The sequence below is a fragment of the Homo sapiens genome, chromosome 10, assembly GCF_000001405.40.
Source record: "Homo sapiens chromosome 10, GRCh38.p14 Primary Assembly".
Taxonomy (NCBI): domain Eukaryota; kingdom Metazoa; phylum Chordata; class Mammalia; order Primates; family Hominidae; genus Homo; species Homo sapiens.
In genome coordinates this window covers 42,099,007-42,114,387 of record NC_000010.11, presented here as the reverse complement: position 1 = coordinate 42,114,387, position 15,381 = coordinate 42,099,007, and the positions used below count along the sequence as shown (strand labels likewise).

The window sequence follows — 15,381 nt, the reverse complement described above, 5'->3', positions numbered from 1 at the left end:
CTCAATTTATTAAAATATTTTCTAATATCTATTACAATAATATTTCTTAATTAGGTAACATAAGAGGAGTTTTAAGACATTTATTTATATGTACTTCCTAGATTCAAACTCGATTCCACTATTTTCAGAAATCATACTCTGAGACAAGTCCTTTTTTTATCTAACTATGTTTCTGCCTATATTAAAAGACAGATATGTCAATTTTGCTAGTCATGCTGTTCCAAACCTCTCCATCCTGATTATTTTTCGGTTTGTTCTAGCAGTCATTCAGAGACTTACTTATATTCAAATTTCTCTCTAGGTTTAACATTCATGTATGTCTTCTTGTGGTTTTGTCTATTTTTGCTGTATATAATTTAAGACATTTTATTGACATATATCATACATGCAGAAAAGTACAATGATTAAATATGGATAGCTTGATTAATGAAACACATGTATTTGCTTATAGCCATGTACGAAAATAGAACATTACTAAAAATAGTGATACTTCTGCCCCTTTGCAAACACCAACCCTCATCCTCAATAGTAACAGATTTTTTTTTATCATAGAGTAATTTGGTCTACTTTCAAATTTTTATTAAATAAATCAGAGTATCTACTCTAAGTCTATGTTTCTTTCATTGTTGTTATTTTCCTTGTAGTATTTATCTGCTAATGGACACGGTAGATTGAAGATGGCTACATACACATTTTTTAATTAATAGATTTTTTGAGCACTTTGTGGCTCATGCCTCTAATCCCATCACTTTGGGAGGCTGAGGTGCGTGGATCATGAGCTCAGGAGATCCAGACAATCCTGGCCAACTTGGTAAAACCCCTTCTCTACTAAAATACAAAAAATTAGCTGATAGATAACATCAAGATAACATCTGAGTTCTTAGCTGCACTGAGTCAAGCCTACTTACATCTTCGTCTTCCGCTGCACTTTTCCTTCCACATCACAGTCCAGGAATGCCAAGCTGCATTGGCCTTCTACCCCTTTTCCACTATTGTGCCCCTGCCACCGCGGCTTTTTGCCACCGCTGCTTTTTGCCGCCACCGCCGTGGGTTTTTGCCTCCGCTGCTTTTTGCCACTGCCGCCGCGGCTTTTTGCCCCCAACACTGGGGCTTTTTGCGGCTCTTTGACCCACCACTGGGGCTTTTTGCGGCTTTTTGCGCCCGCCGTCCTGCCTTTTTGCCCCCGCCGCTGCAGCTTATTCCCCGCCTCGCGGATTTCTGCCCCCGCTGCTGCAGCTTTTTCCCTGCCTCGTGGATTTCTGCCCCCGCCCCTGTGGCTTTTCGTCACCGCTGCTGTTGCTTTTTGCCCCCGCCGCTGCGGGTTTCTCCAGCCACGGCTTATTGCCCTCGCTGCCGAGGCTTCTTACCCCCACCGCCGTGGCATTTTGCCCCCATCACCATGGCTTTTTGTGGCTTTTTGCCGCTGCGGCTCTTTGCCTCCGAAGCCACGGCTTTTTGCCCTTGGCGCCATGGCTTTTTGGCCCTGCCGCCACGGCTTTTTGTGGCTTTTTGCCCCCACCACTACGGCTTTTTGCCACCGCGGCTCTTTGCCTCCGAAGCCATGGTTTTTGACCCTGCCGCCATGGGTTTTAGCCGCCGCGGCTTTTTGCCCCCGCCGCCATGACTTTTTGCTCCTGCCGCTGAGGCTTTTTGCCTCTGCAGTTTTTGCCCCCGCCGCCGCTGCTTTTTGCAGCTTTTTGCCCCCCCACCGCCGTGGCTTTTTGACCCCCTGCCACTGCGGCTTTTTGCCCATGCGGCTTTTTCCCCCCGTCGCCCCGGGTTTTTGTTTTTTGCACCCGCTCCCGCTGCTTTTTGCCCCACCACTAGGGCTTTTTGCCGCCGTGGTTTTTTGCCCCCGAAGCAACAGCTTTTTGCCCTCGCCGCCACGGCTTTTTCCCCGTGCCGCCACGGCTTATTGCCCCCACCGCCGCGGGTTTTTGCCGTCACGACTTTTTATCCCCACCGCCGCTGCTTTTTGCAGCCGCGGCTTTTTATTCCCACCGCCATGGCTTTTTGGTCCCACCACCGTGGCTTTTTGCCCTCCCGCAGCCGTGGCTTTTTGCTCCTACCTCTGAGGCTTTTTGCCGCTGCGGTTTTTAACCCTGCCGCTGCTGCTTTTTGCAGATTTTTTCCCCCTGTCGCCACGGCTTTTTGCCCCCGCGTCTTTTTCCCCCTGTCTCAGCGGATTTTTGTGGTTTTTCCGCCCCAGCCGCTGCCGCGGCTTTTTGCCCCCAAAGCCACAGCTTTTTGCCTTCGCCACCGCGGCTTTTTGCCCAGCCGCTACAGCTTTTTGCCCCCGAAGCCACACCTTTTTGCCCTCGCCACCGCGGCTTTTTGCGGCATTTTACTCCCCGCCGCTGTGGCTTTTTGCCCCCGCCACAGCTTCTTATCCCCATCGCCGTGGCTTTTTGCAGTCACAGTTTTATTCCACCACCGCGGCTTTTTGGGCCCACCACCACGGCTTTTTGCCCCCGCCACCATGGCTTTTGGCTCCTGCCACTGAGGCTATTTGCCGCCGCGGTTTTTGCCCCTGCCGCTGCTGCTTTTTGCGGCTTTTTGCCCCCGTGGATTTTTCCCCCCGTCTCCGCGGGTTTTTGTGATTTTTTTGCCCCCGCTCTTGCTGCTTTTTGTCCCCGCCACCGCAGCTTTTTGCCCCACCACTATGGTTTTTTGAGGCTGTGGCTTTTTGCCCCCAAAGCCACAGCTTTTTAGCCTCGCCACCATGGCTTTTTGTGGCTTTTCTCCCCCGCCGCCGCGGCTTTTCGCCCCCGCCACTGAGGCTTTTTGCCGCGGCGGTGTTTGTTCCCGCCGCCGCTGCTTTTTGCCCCCCCGCCGCTGCCGTGGCTTTTTGCCCCCGCCACTACAGCTTTTCGCTGCTGCAGCTTTTTGTCCCTGAAGCCACGGCTTTTTGTCCTCACCGCTGCGGCATTTTGCACCCGCCACCAGGGCTATTTGCCCCCGCTTCCGTGACTTTTTGCCACCGCTGTTTTTTCCCCCGCCACTACGGGATTTTACCCCCACCGCCGCGGGTTTTTGCCGCCGTGGCTTTTTTTAACCGCCACTGCCGCAGCTTTTTGCCCCCTCTGCCGCAGTCTTTTGCCTCCGCCGCCGGGGCTTTTCGCCCCTGTCGCTGCAGCTTTTTTGCACCCTGCCACCACGGCTTTTTCCCCCAGCCGCCGCGGCTTTTTGTGTTTTTTTTGCCCCCGCTCCCGCTGCTTTTTGCCCCCGCCTCAGTGGCTTTTTACCCCCCTCAGTGTGGCTTTTTGTCCCCACCGCCGCGTCTTTCTCCAACTGCCGCCGTGGCTTTTTGCCCCTGCTGCCGCGCTTTTTTGCCGCCGTGGCTTTTTGTCCCCGCTGCCTTTGGAACCTTAATTTCACTTGAAATCTAATTTCCCACTGCCATGCAACCTAACATATTTGTATGTTAGACTCCGGGAATTAGGACATGAACATTTTTGTGAGTCCATTATTTTGTCTACAGCAGACATAATCTATTTACCTGCAGATTAAAGTGTTCTTTATTTTTCTGCCTCTCTTTCTTAATTTTTTTTAAATAATATGAATTGTACTAAAGAGAAAGAAAAAAGGAAGGAAGGAAAGAAGAAAGTAAAGGAGGAAATGAGAGAAGGGAGGGAGGAAGGGAGAAAGGCAGGAAAGGAGAAAAAAGAAAGCAAGAACTCAAGAAAGAAAGAAAAAGTGATGGAAGGAGGAAGGAAAGGAGGAAGAGAGAATGGTAACAGGGAGGAAGGCAAACAAAGAAAATAGAAGGGAGGAAGGAAGGAAAAAGGAAAGGAAGGGAGGCAGGAAGGAAAAAAGGGAGGGAGGAAGGGAGAAAAAAGGAAAGAAAGTGAGAAAGAATAAGAGAAAAGAAGGGAGGGAGAAAGCAAGGGAGGGAGGAGGGAAGGAAGAATAAGGGGAAGGAAAGAAGGAAGGAAGGAGAAAAAAGAAAGGAAAAGAAAGCGGAAAAGAAAGGAAGGAAGAAGGCAAGGGAAGAGAAGAGAAAGGAAGATGGAAAGAAGGAAGGAAGAAAGCAAATATTAGAAATTCTGGGTTTGTTAGAGAATATGCCATACTGTTTTTTTTTTCACTTGAAAGGAAAAAGTATCTGCCATTGAAGATTGGATGTCTTGTTGGTGATATTGTTTTTCTTATCTTCCATATGATTACTGAGTTTGTGCCTAGTCTGTCCATTACTAAAACAAAAGTGTTGAAGTCTGCAAATATAATTTTGGATTTTTCTAGTTTACCTTTGATTTCTTTCCTGTTTTACCTCATGTATTTGGAGGTTCTGTTGTTAGCTGCATATCCTAATTAGTAGGATGTTTACATCTTGAGAATTGATTATTATATTATTTATTATCTCTCATCTCATACTATTTCTTGTTCTGAACTCTGTTGTGTCTAATATCAATGTAGTCCTTCCACAGCTTTATTTTAGTGTTTCCATGATATGGCTTTCTCCATATCTTGATGATAACCTATTTATACCTCTATATATTTGGAGCAAGATATAAAATTTAGAGTTGATTTTTTAAAGATTTTTCAAGATGGAATTCTTATTTCTTTTTGTTCTATTTGACATTCTCTGAGTTTCCTATATCTGAAGTTTGATTTCCTGTCACTTCTTTTAGAATATTTTTGGCAGTTATTTTGAAATATATTTCTTTTGCTCCATTATTTTTTCCTCTTTTCTTTTTGGGATTTCAATTATAACTAAGGTAGGTAATTTCATCTCAGTCTTATGCAGGTACTTTTTCTCAGGGTCTCAGGAATGTAGCCTTCTCACACTTCTGTTCTTTTCCTGGCTGTGTTGGTGAGCTCAGTGATATTCCTCCTTCACCTTCAAGAGCAGTTTTGTTTTGTTTTTCCTGTTTTCATACTCCCAGCGTCAGGAGTATTCTAAGTGTGGCAGTTTTTGTTGCCTTCCCCTACATATTAAGTGGAATATCTTGGTCTATTTGGACTCTTATAACAAAATAACATAAACCGGGTGACTAAAAAACAACAGATATTTCTTTTTTCACACTTCTTGAGGCTGTAAGATCTCAGGTCAAGATGCTCAGAAATTCAGTGTTGATGAGAGCCAATTTCATGGTTCATAGATGGTGCCTTCTTTCTATGTCCTCACATAGTGGAAGGCACACAAGAACTCCATTGAGCTTCTTTTATAAAGACACTAATCCCATTCATAAGGGCTCAGCCCCCAAGACCTCATCACCTCCCAAGTGTTCTGCTCTCCCTGGTCTGTATCATATACAGACTCTCTTGGATTCCTTACCAATTGCTTGACAGATCATAGTGGGTTTGTGGGGAAAAAGATTCAAGATGATGGATCTTTCCCAACTTCTGCAGCTGTCAGCGGTCTCCCAATCTGACCAGCCCCACTTTGTCTTTAGGAATTTATTGATTATTCCAGCTTTACTTGTCATAATGGTGTCTATTTGCATCTGTCCTATGTAAGTGCATCTGTCCTTTTTCTCCTTGCAGTTGCAAGTACTCAGGAGTACACTGTTGTTACTAATTACTCAGTATTGGTTGGTACATTGTCAAAGATCAAAAAACATTTTTAAAGATAAAAAAAAATTCTTGGAAGTTGTGCAATGAAGGGTTAATTCTGCAGACATGGCTTTCCAAAACCTTGCACATTCCAAAGGTCTTCAGGACTGGCCCTTGACAAGCTCCTAGGAGATGATAACCTATGAGCCCTTGGTATATGCTGCCTGATGAGAGTCTTTGTATACCTGAAAATGTAGGTCTTATCAAATAGCTGATGCTAACAACGTGATTTCTTGTGAGCACCTGTTTCTATATGCCTATGACTTTGTGTAATGCTATATTAATATGACCTCTCTTAGGGCATAGGGAGGTTGGGAACTAAGTAGCTAAGTTCAGTCACAGGACGCTCGATGCATATGTGGTGGAATCCTAATAAAAACCCTGGACTCAAGACTGACTGAGCTTCCCTAGTTGGCAACAAGTTCACACAAGTTGTCTCACACCATTGTAAAGAAAATTAGTCAGTGTGAAGTCCCCACTATGAAAGGACACCTGTACGCTCACATCTGGTTTGTCCTGGACTCAACTTTATGTGCTTTTATGCTTCTGATTATTTTAATCTGGTTTCTTTCACGTTAGAAACTGTAACCACAAAAAAAAATCAGCTTTCTTGAGTTACGTGAATCATTAAACCAAAGGGGGACTTGGGGACCCCCAATAAAAAGTACATATATTCTTAAAAAGAAAAAGAAAACTGGCTATAGCAGATATTGCTGATGACGTGTCTTCTATGTCCTGGACTCAATGTGTTCACCTGAAATTCACCTGTTTCAAGCTAACTGAGAGCTCCCCACATCATGCCTTTCTTTCTGATTTTTGGGCCTGCCTGCAAGCTTCTTGAGGCTAACCAGTGCTTCTCAACCACACATAGGAACAAAGAAGCAGTTAGGGGTGGAGAGTTAATGATTCTAAGGCAATCCTTAAGCAATAGGAGATGGGGATTCCAGCATCCCCATCTCTTTGTAAAGTTATTTTAAGACAATCTCCATACCTCCATCATTACTGAGCACATAGCAGTAACTACTCATTCACACTGGCTTCGTGTTCTGTTTCATTTTCTCCACTTCTGTGCTTTCTCACTCAATTTCTGATTAAAGTATCTGACCCCAGATATTTGTTTCATAGTCTATTTTTGAGGGAATCCAGAGCCAAGACAATAACAATGGGGCTTTGCAATGAGGGAGGGTGAGTATAATCATCAGAAGGTTACCTACCTCACTGGGAACATGAAGGCCTGGAGAGCTTGCTGTTTCAATGAGAGAAACATGTTGAATTTCAGTTGAATACCTATATATATATATGTGCAATAAGACGTGCCCTTTACTTATATCAAAGGAAAGTGCTCTTTACCTCTCTTTGTTGTTGTGTTTTTATCACTATTGCCTACACAAGCAGAATATCATACCCAGGATTTAAAGCTCTCTCTGCAGGATTTTCAAGCTCATGTTTTTATCATAAGTCACTCTGCTTCCATGTGTTTTAAATCTAATCCTCATTCCTCTGCTTTTACACCAGAGAATTCATCACTGACTTATTTTTGACTGACCTCCTTATAGAGCTGTCAGGTACACAATTTCTGCTGTGATCTTTATCTTAGAGTTCAGTCATATAGCCTCTCACTAGATATCATTTCCTCTTATCTTTCCTAATAATGAATTGTCAGTTAAAACTCAATATTTTTAAGATTGAGCTTGCCATCTGCACACACACACACACACACCATTATTGTTGTATTCTCATAGCCTTGAAACACTAATGTCACGTTGATGTCTGCCTTTTCTTTCTCTGCTAACTCATTCCTCATTCTTAGATTATTCTAAAAGATTCAATTAGATCAAGTTGGCTAATTATATTTTTAAGATCCTCTCTACCCTTACCAACTTTTCGTTTAACAAAATTTAAAAATTTCTGGCAGGAGACTGTTGAAATCCCCATGGATGACTGTGGTTTTACTATTTTACCTTTCAGTTTTAATAGGTTTTATATTATGTATTTTGAGGTAATGTTATTGTGTGCATACATAATTCTTATTTACATGACTTCTTGGTGTATTTTCCCCTTTGTCATTTTGAAATGTTATTCTTCATCCCCAGTGATATTTCCTGTTCTGATGTCTACTTTGCTCGTCAAAGTTTTAGGGGGTTTTGGTTTGTTTGTTTTTCTATTTTTTGGTTCAAGTAAGTTTCTTACAAATCTGTTCGATTCCATTTGATGATTCCATTTGCTTCAATTCAAGGATTCCACTCGATTCCATTCGATGATGATTCCATTCGAGTCCATTTGATGATTCCATTCGATTCCATTCAATGATGATTCCATTAGAGTCCATTTGATGATTCAATTCGATTCCATTCGATTCCATTTGATGATGATTCCATCAGAGTCCATTCGAGGATTCCATTCGATTCCATACAATGATGTTTCCATTCGAGTCCATTCGATGATTCCATCCGATTCCATTCAATGATGACACAATTCGAGTCCCTTCATTGATTCCATTCAGTTCCATTGTATGATGACTGCGTTCGGTTCCATTCGATGATGATTCCAATGGATTCCATTCGATTTCTCAATTCAATTCAATTCCTTGCTGATTCCATTCAACTCCATTAGATGATGACTCCACTAGATTCAATTCGATGATGATTTTATTAGATTCCATTTGATGATGATCCAATTTGATTCTATTCAATGATGATTCTATTCGATTCCATTCAATAATTTCATTTGTTTCCATTCAAAGATTCCATTCGATTCCATTCAATGATGATTCCATTTGAGTCCATTCGATGATTCCATTCGATTCCATGTGATGATCATTCCATCGAGTCCATTCGATGATTCCATTTGATTCCGTTAGATGATGACTGCATTCGGTTCCATTCGATGATGATTCTAACGGACTCCATTCGATGACTCCATTCGATTCCATTCATTGATGATTCCATTCGACTCCATTTGATGATGATTCCATTCAATTCCATTCGATGATGATTCCATTCGATTCCATTCAATGATGATTCCATTGGATTGCATTAGATGACTCCATTGGATTACATTCGATGATGATTCTTTTCGGGTACATTCGATGATTCCATTCTAGTCCATTCGATGATGATTCCATTTGATTATTCCATTCAACTCCATTAGATGTTTTCTTTCGATTCCACTCAATGTTGATTCCATTTGAGTCCATTCGATGATTCCATTCGAGTGCATTCCATGATTTCATTTGATTCCATTTGATTATGATTCCATTCAATTCCATTCAATGATTCCATTTGATTTCATTCGATGATGATTGCATTAGATTCCATTCGATGATTCCATTGGAGTCCATTCAATGATTCCATTCGAGTCCATTAAAGGATTCCATTTGATTCCATTTGATGATGACTCCATGCGAGTCCATTCAATGATGATTCCATTTGATCCCACTCGATGATTCCGTTGGATTCCATTCTTTGTTTTATTTTGATTCGTTTTGATGATGATTCCATTCAGTTTCATTCAATGATCCCATTCGATTCTAATTGATGATGTTTCCATTCGATTCCATTTGAAGAAAATTCCATTTGATTCCATTGATGATGATTCCATTCGATTCTATTCGATGCCGATTGTATTCGATTCCATTCAATGATGATTCTATTCGATTCCATTTGATGATTAAATTCAATTCCATTCTAGGATGATTCCATTCGAGACCATTCGATGATTCCATTCAATTCCATACAATAATGATTCCATTCGAGTCCATTCAATGATTCCATTCAAGTCCACTTGATGATTCCATCTGATTCAATTCAATGAATCCATTCGATTCCATTCTATGATGATTCCATTCATTTCCATCTGATGATGATTCCATTCGACTCCATTCAATGATTCCATTCGATTCCATTTGATGATGATTTCAATCAATTTCATTCGATGATTCCATTCGAATCCATTCGATGATGAGTCCATCCAATTCAATTTCATGATAATTCCATTCGCTTCAATTCGATGGTGTTTCCATTCGAATCCATTCGATGTTGATTCCATTAGTTTCCATTGGATGATGATTCCATTCGAGTCCATTCGATGATGATCACATTGGATTTCATTCCATAATTCTATTCGATTCCATTTGATGATGATTCCATCTGATCCCATTTGATGATTCCATTCGATTCCATTCGATGACGATTCCATTCGTTTCCATCCGATGATGATTCCATTCAATTCCGTTCAATGATTATTCCATTCGAGTCCATTCGATGATTCCATTTGATTCCATTCGATGATGATTGCATTCGAATCCATGGATTATTCCATTCCATTCCATTAGATGATTCCATTCGAGTCCATTCGATGATTCTCTTCGATTCCATTCGATAATTCCGTTTGATTCCGTTAGATGTTGATTCCATTCGAGTCAATTCGATGATAATTCCATTCAATTCTATGCGATGATTCCATTCCATTCCATTTGAAGATGATTCCATTCGAGACCATTCGATGATTGCATTCAATTCATTCGATGACGATTCCATTCAATTCCGTTCAATGTTTCCATTAGATTCCATCTGATGATGATTCCATTCGATTCCATTTGATGATGATTCCATGCGATTCCATTAGATGATGACTCCTTTCATTTCCATTCGATGATGATTCCATTCGTTTCCATCTGATGATGATTCCATTCGATTCCGTTCAATGATTATTGCATTCGAGTCCATTGAATGATTCCATTCGATACCATTCGATGATGATTGCATTCGAGTCCATGGATTATTTGATTCCATTTTATTAGATGATTCCATTCGAGTCATTCAATGACTCTTCGAATCCATTCAATAATTCCGTTTGAATCCGTTTGATGTTGATTCCATTCGAGTCCATTCAATGATAATTCCATTCGATTCTATGCGATGACTCCATTCCTTTCCATTTGAAGATGATTCCATTCGAGACCATTCGATGATTGCATTCAATTCATTCGATGACGATTCGATTCAATTCCGTTCAATTATTCCATTAAATTCCATTCGATAATTCCAATCGAGCCCATTCGATGATTCTATTCGATTGCATTCGATAATTCCATTCGATTGCATTCGATAATTCCATTTGATTCCATTTGAGGATAATTCCATTTGAGTCCATTCGATGATTGTTCCATTCGATTCTATTCGGTGATTCCATTCGATTCCATTTCATAATGATACCATTCGAGACCATTCCATGATTCCATTCAATTCTATTCAATAATGATTCCATTCCAGTACATTCAATGATTCCATTCAAGTCCATTGGATGATTCCATCTGATTCCATTCAATGAATCCATTTGATTCCATTCTATGATGATACCATTCATTTCCATCTGATGATGATTCCATTCGATTCCATTCAATGATTCCATTTGATTCCATTTGATGATGATTTCAATCAATTTCATTCGATGATTTCATTGGAATCCATTCGATGATGAGTCCATCCATTTCAATTTCATGATAATTCCTTTCCTTTCAATTCGATGGTGTTTCCATTCGATTCCATTCGATGTTGATTCCATTAGTTTCCATTGGATGATGATTCCATTCGAGTCCATTCGATGATGATCACATTGGATTGCATTCCATAATTCTACTCGATTCCATTTGATGATGATTCCATCTGATTCCATTTGATGATTCCATTCGATTCCATTCAATGATGATTCCATTCGTATCCATCCGATGATGATTCCAATCGATTCCGTTCAAGGATTATTCCATTCGAGTCCATTCGATGATTCCATTCGATTCCATTGGATGATGATTGCATTCGTGTCCATGGATTATTCCATTCCAATCCATTAGATGATTCCATTCCATTAGATGATTCCATTCGAGTCCATTCGATGATTCTCTTCGATTCCATTCGATAATTCCGTTTGATTCCATTTGATGTTGATTCGATTCGAGTCCATTCGATGATAATTTCATTCGATTTTATGCGATTATTAAATTCCATTCCATTTGAATATGATTGCATTCGAGAACATTCGATGATTGCATTCAATTCATTCGATGACGATTCCATTCAATTCTGTTCAATGATTCCATTAGATTCCAATTGATGATGATTCCATTCGATTTCATTTGATGATGATTCCATGCGATTCCATTAGATGATGACTCCTTTCATTTCCATTCAATGAGGATTCCATTCGGTTCCATTTGATGATGATTCCTTTGAATTCCGTTTGATGACAATTCCATTCAATACCAATTGATGATGGTTATTTCTGATTCCATTGGATGATGATTACTTTTGATTACATTTGATCATGATTCCATTCGATTCCACTCAATGATTCCATTCGATTCCATTCAATGATGATTCCATTCGTATTCATTGTCTATTCCATTCCATTCCATTCGATGATTCCATTCGAGCCCATTCGATGATTCTATTCGATTGCATTCGATAATTCCATTCGATTGCATTCGATAATTCCATTTGATTCCATTTGAGGATAATTCCATTTGAGTCCATTCGATGATTGTTCCATTCGATTCTAGTCGGTGATTCCATTCGATTCCATTTGATAATGATTCCATTCGAGACCATTCAATGATTCCATTCAATTCTATTCAATAATGATTCCATTCGAGTCCATTCAATGATTCCATTCAAGTCCATTGGATGATTCCATCTGATTCCATTCAATGAATCCATTCGATTCCATTCTATGATGATTCCATTCATTTCCATCTGATGATGATTCCATTCGATTCCATTCAATGATTCCATTTGATTCCATTTGATGATGACTTCAATCAATTTCATTTGATGATTTCATTGGAATCCATTCGATGATGAGACCATCCATTTCAATTTCATGATAATTCCATTCCTTTCAATTCGATGGTGTTTCCATTCGATTCCATTCGATGTTGATTCCATTAGTTTCCATTGGATGATGATTCCATTCGAGACCATTCGATGATGATCACATTGGATTGCATTCCATAATTCTACTCGATTCCATTTGATGATGATTCCATCTGTTTCCGTTTGATGATTCCATTCGATTCCATTCAATGATGATTCCATTCGTTTCCATCTGATGATGATTCCATTCGATTCCGTTCAATGATTATTCCATTCGAGTCCATTCGATGATTCCATTCGATTCTATTCGATGATGATTGCATTCGTGTCCATGGATTATTCCATTCCATTCCATTAGATGATTCCATTCGAGTCCATTCGATGATTCTCTTCGATTCAATTCGCTAATTCCGTTTGATTCCGTTTGATGTTGATTCCATTCGAGTCCATTCAATGATAATTCCATTCGATTCTATGCGATGATTCCATTCCTTTCCATTTGAAGATGATTCCATTCGAGACCATTCGATGATTGCATTCAGTTCATTCGATGACGATTCAATTCAATTCTGTTCAATGATTCCATTAGATTCCATTTGATGATGATTCCATTTGATTTCATTTGATGACGATTCCATGTGATTCCATTAGATGATGACTCCTTTCATTTCCATTCAATGAGGATTCCATTCGGTTCCATTTGATGATGATCCCTTTGAATTCCATTTGATGACAATTCCATTCAATACCAATTGATGATGGTTATTTTTGATTCCATTTGATGATCATTACATTCGATTCCATTTGAACATGATTCCATTCGAGTCCACTATATGATTCCATTCGACTCCACTCGATGATTCCATTCGATTCCATTCAATGATGATTCCATTCGAATGCAATGACTATTCCATTCCATTCCATTCGATGATTCCATTCGAGTCCATTCGATGATTGTATTCAATTGAATTCAATAATTCCATTGGATTGCATTCGATAATTCCATTCGATTCCATTTGAGGATAATTCCATGTGAGTCCATTCGACGATTGTTCCATTCGATTCTATTCGGTGATTCCATTCGATTCCATTTGATAATGATTCCATTCGAGACCATTCGATGATTCAATTCAATTCCATTCAATAATGATTCCATTCGAGTCCATTCAATGATTCCATTGAAGTCCATTCGATGATTCCATCTGATTCCATTCAATGAATCCATTCGATTCCATTCTATGATGATTCCACTCATTTCCATCTGATGAGGATTCCATTCGATTCCATTCAATGATTCCATTCGATTCCATTTGATGATGATTTCAATCAATTTCATTCGATGACTCCATTCAAATCCATTCGATGATGCGATGATGAGTCCATCCATTTCAATTTAATGATAATTCCATTCGTTTCAATTCGATGGTGTTCCCTTTCGTTTCAATTCGATGTTGATTCCATTAGTTTCCATTGGATGATGACTCCATTCGAGTCCATTCGATGATGATCACATTAGATTTCATTCCATAATTCTACTCGATTCCATTTGATGATGATTCCATCTGATTCCAATTGATGATTCCATTCGATTCCATTCAATGATGACTCAATTCGTTTCCATCCGATGATGATTCCACTCGATTCGGTTCAATGATTATTCCATTCGAGTCCATTCGATGATTCCACTCGATTCCATTCGATGATGATTGCATTCGAGTCCATGGATTATTCCATTCCATTCCATTAGATGACTCCATTCGAGTCCATTCGATGATTCTCTTCGATTCCATTCGATAATTCCGATTGATTCCGTTTCATGTTGATTCCATTCGAGTCCATTCGATGATAATTCCATTCGATTCTATGCGATGATTCCATTCCTTTCCATTTGAAGATGATTCCATTCGAGACCATTCGATGATTGCATTCAATTCATTCGATGACGATTCCATTCAATTCCGTACAAGGATTCCATTAGATTCCATTTGATGATGATTCCATGCCATTCCATTAGATGATGACTCCTTTCATTTCCATTCAATGAGGATTCCATTCGGTTCCATTTGATGATGATTCCTTTGAATTCCATTTGATGACAATTCCATTCAATACCAATTGATGATGGTTATTTTTGATTCCATTTGATGATGATTACATTCGATTCCATTTGATCATGATTCCATTCGATTCAAATCGATGATTCCATTCGATTCCATTCAATGATGATTCCATTCGAGTTCATTGACTATTCCATTCCATTCCATTTGATGATTCCATTCGAGTCCATTCGATGATTCTATTCGATTGCATTCGATAATTCCAGTCAATTGCATTCGATAATTCCATTCTATTCCATTTGAGGATAATTCCATTTGAGTCCAATCGACGATTGATCCATTCGATTCTATTCGGTGATTCCATTGGATTCCATTTGGTAATGATTCCATTCGAGACCATTCGATGATTCCATTCAATTCCATGCAATGATGATTCCATTCGAGTCCATTCAATGATTCCAATCAAGTCCATTCGATGATTCCATGTGATTCCATTCAATGAAACCATTCAATCCATTCTGTGATGATTCCATTCATTTCCATTTGATCATGATTCCATTCGATTCCACTCGATGATTCCATTCGATGCCATTCAATGATGATTCCATTCGATTCCATTTGATCATGATTCCTTTCGATTCCACTCGATGATTCCATTCGATTCCATTCAATGATGATTCCATTCGAGTTCCTTGACTATTCCATTCCATTCCATTCGATGATTCCATTCGAGTCCATTCGATGATTCTATTCGATTGCATTCGATAATTCCATTCGATTGCATTCGATAATTCCATTCAATTCCATTTGAGGATAATTCCATTTCAGTCCCTTCGGTGACTGTTCCATTCGATTCTATTCGGTGATTCCATTTGATTCCATTTGATAATGATTCCATT

General features: G+C 39.9%; 7 annotated features.

The window, feature by feature from the left end:
- Nucleotides 9,188-9,723: an enhancer, noted in NCBI's record as "OCT4-NANOG-H3K27ac-H3K4me1 hESC enhancer chr10:42600113-42600648 (GRCh37/hg19 assembly coordinates)". NCBI's record gives its function as "activates a minimal SCP1, AML or CMV promoter by ChIP-STARR-seq in naive and primed H9 embryonic stem cells {active_cell/tissue: H9 hESC(naive and primed)}" and the evidence as "EXISTENCE:reporter gene assay evidence [ECO:0000049][PMID:30033119]".
- Nucleotides 9,724-10,259: an enhancer, noted in NCBI's record as "OCT4-NANOG-H3K27ac-H3K4me1 hESC enhancer chr10:42599577-42600112 (GRCh37/hg19 assembly coordinates)". NCBI's record gives its function as "activates a minimal SCP1, AML or CMV promoter by ChIP-STARR-seq in naive and primed H9 embryonic stem cells {active_cell/tissue: H9 hESC(naive and primed)}" and the evidence as "EXISTENCE:reporter gene assay evidence [ECO:0000049][PMID:30033119]".
- Nucleotides 10,260-10,795: an enhancer, noted in NCBI's record as "OCT4-NANOG-H3K27ac-H3K4me1 hESC enhancer chr10:42599041-42599576 (GRCh37/hg19 assembly coordinates)". NCBI's record gives its function as "activates a minimal SCP1, AML or CMV promoter by ChIP-STARR-seq in naive and primed H9 embryonic stem cells {active_cell/tissue: H9 hESC(naive and primed)}" and the evidence as "EXISTENCE:reporter gene assay evidence [ECO:0000049][PMID:30033119]".
- Nucleotides 10,796-11,331: an enhancer, noted in NCBI's record as "OCT4-NANOG-H3K27ac-H3K4me1 hESC enhancer chr10:42598505-42599040 (GRCh37/hg19 assembly coordinates)". NCBI's record gives its function as "activates a minimal SCP1, AML or CMV promoter by ChIP-STARR-seq in naive and primed H9 embryonic stem cells {active_cell/tissue: H9 hESC(naive and primed)}" and the evidence as "EXISTENCE:reporter gene assay evidence [ECO:0000049][PMID:30033119]".
- Nucleotides 11,332-11,867: an enhancer, noted in NCBI's record as "OCT4-NANOG-H3K27ac-H3K4me1 hESC enhancer chr10:42597969-42598504 (GRCh37/hg19 assembly coordinates)". NCBI's record gives its function as "activates a minimal SCP1, AML or CMV promoter by ChIP-STARR-seq in naive and primed H9 embryonic stem cells {active_cell/tissue: H9 hESC(naive and primed)}" and the evidence as "EXISTENCE:reporter gene assay evidence [ECO:0000049][PMID:30033119]".
- Nucleotides 11,868-12,403: an enhancer, noted in NCBI's record as "OCT4-NANOG-H3K27ac-H3K4me1 hESC enhancer chr10:42597433-42597968 (GRCh37/hg19 assembly coordinates)". NCBI's record gives its function as "activates a minimal SCP1, AML or CMV promoter by ChIP-STARR-seq in naive and primed H9 embryonic stem cells {active_cell/tissue: H9 hESC(naive and primed)}" and the evidence as "EXISTENCE:reporter gene assay evidence [ECO:0000049][PMID:30033119]".
- Nucleotides 12,404-12,939: an enhancer, noted in NCBI's record as "OCT4-NANOG-H3K27ac-H3K4me1 hESC enhancer chr10:42596897-42597432 (GRCh37/hg19 assembly coordinates)". NCBI's record gives its function as "activates a minimal SCP1, AML or CMV promoter by ChIP-STARR-seq in naive and primed H9 embryonic stem cells {active_cell/tissue: H9 hESC(naive and primed)}" and the evidence as "EXISTENCE:reporter gene assay evidence [ECO:0000049][PMID:30033119]".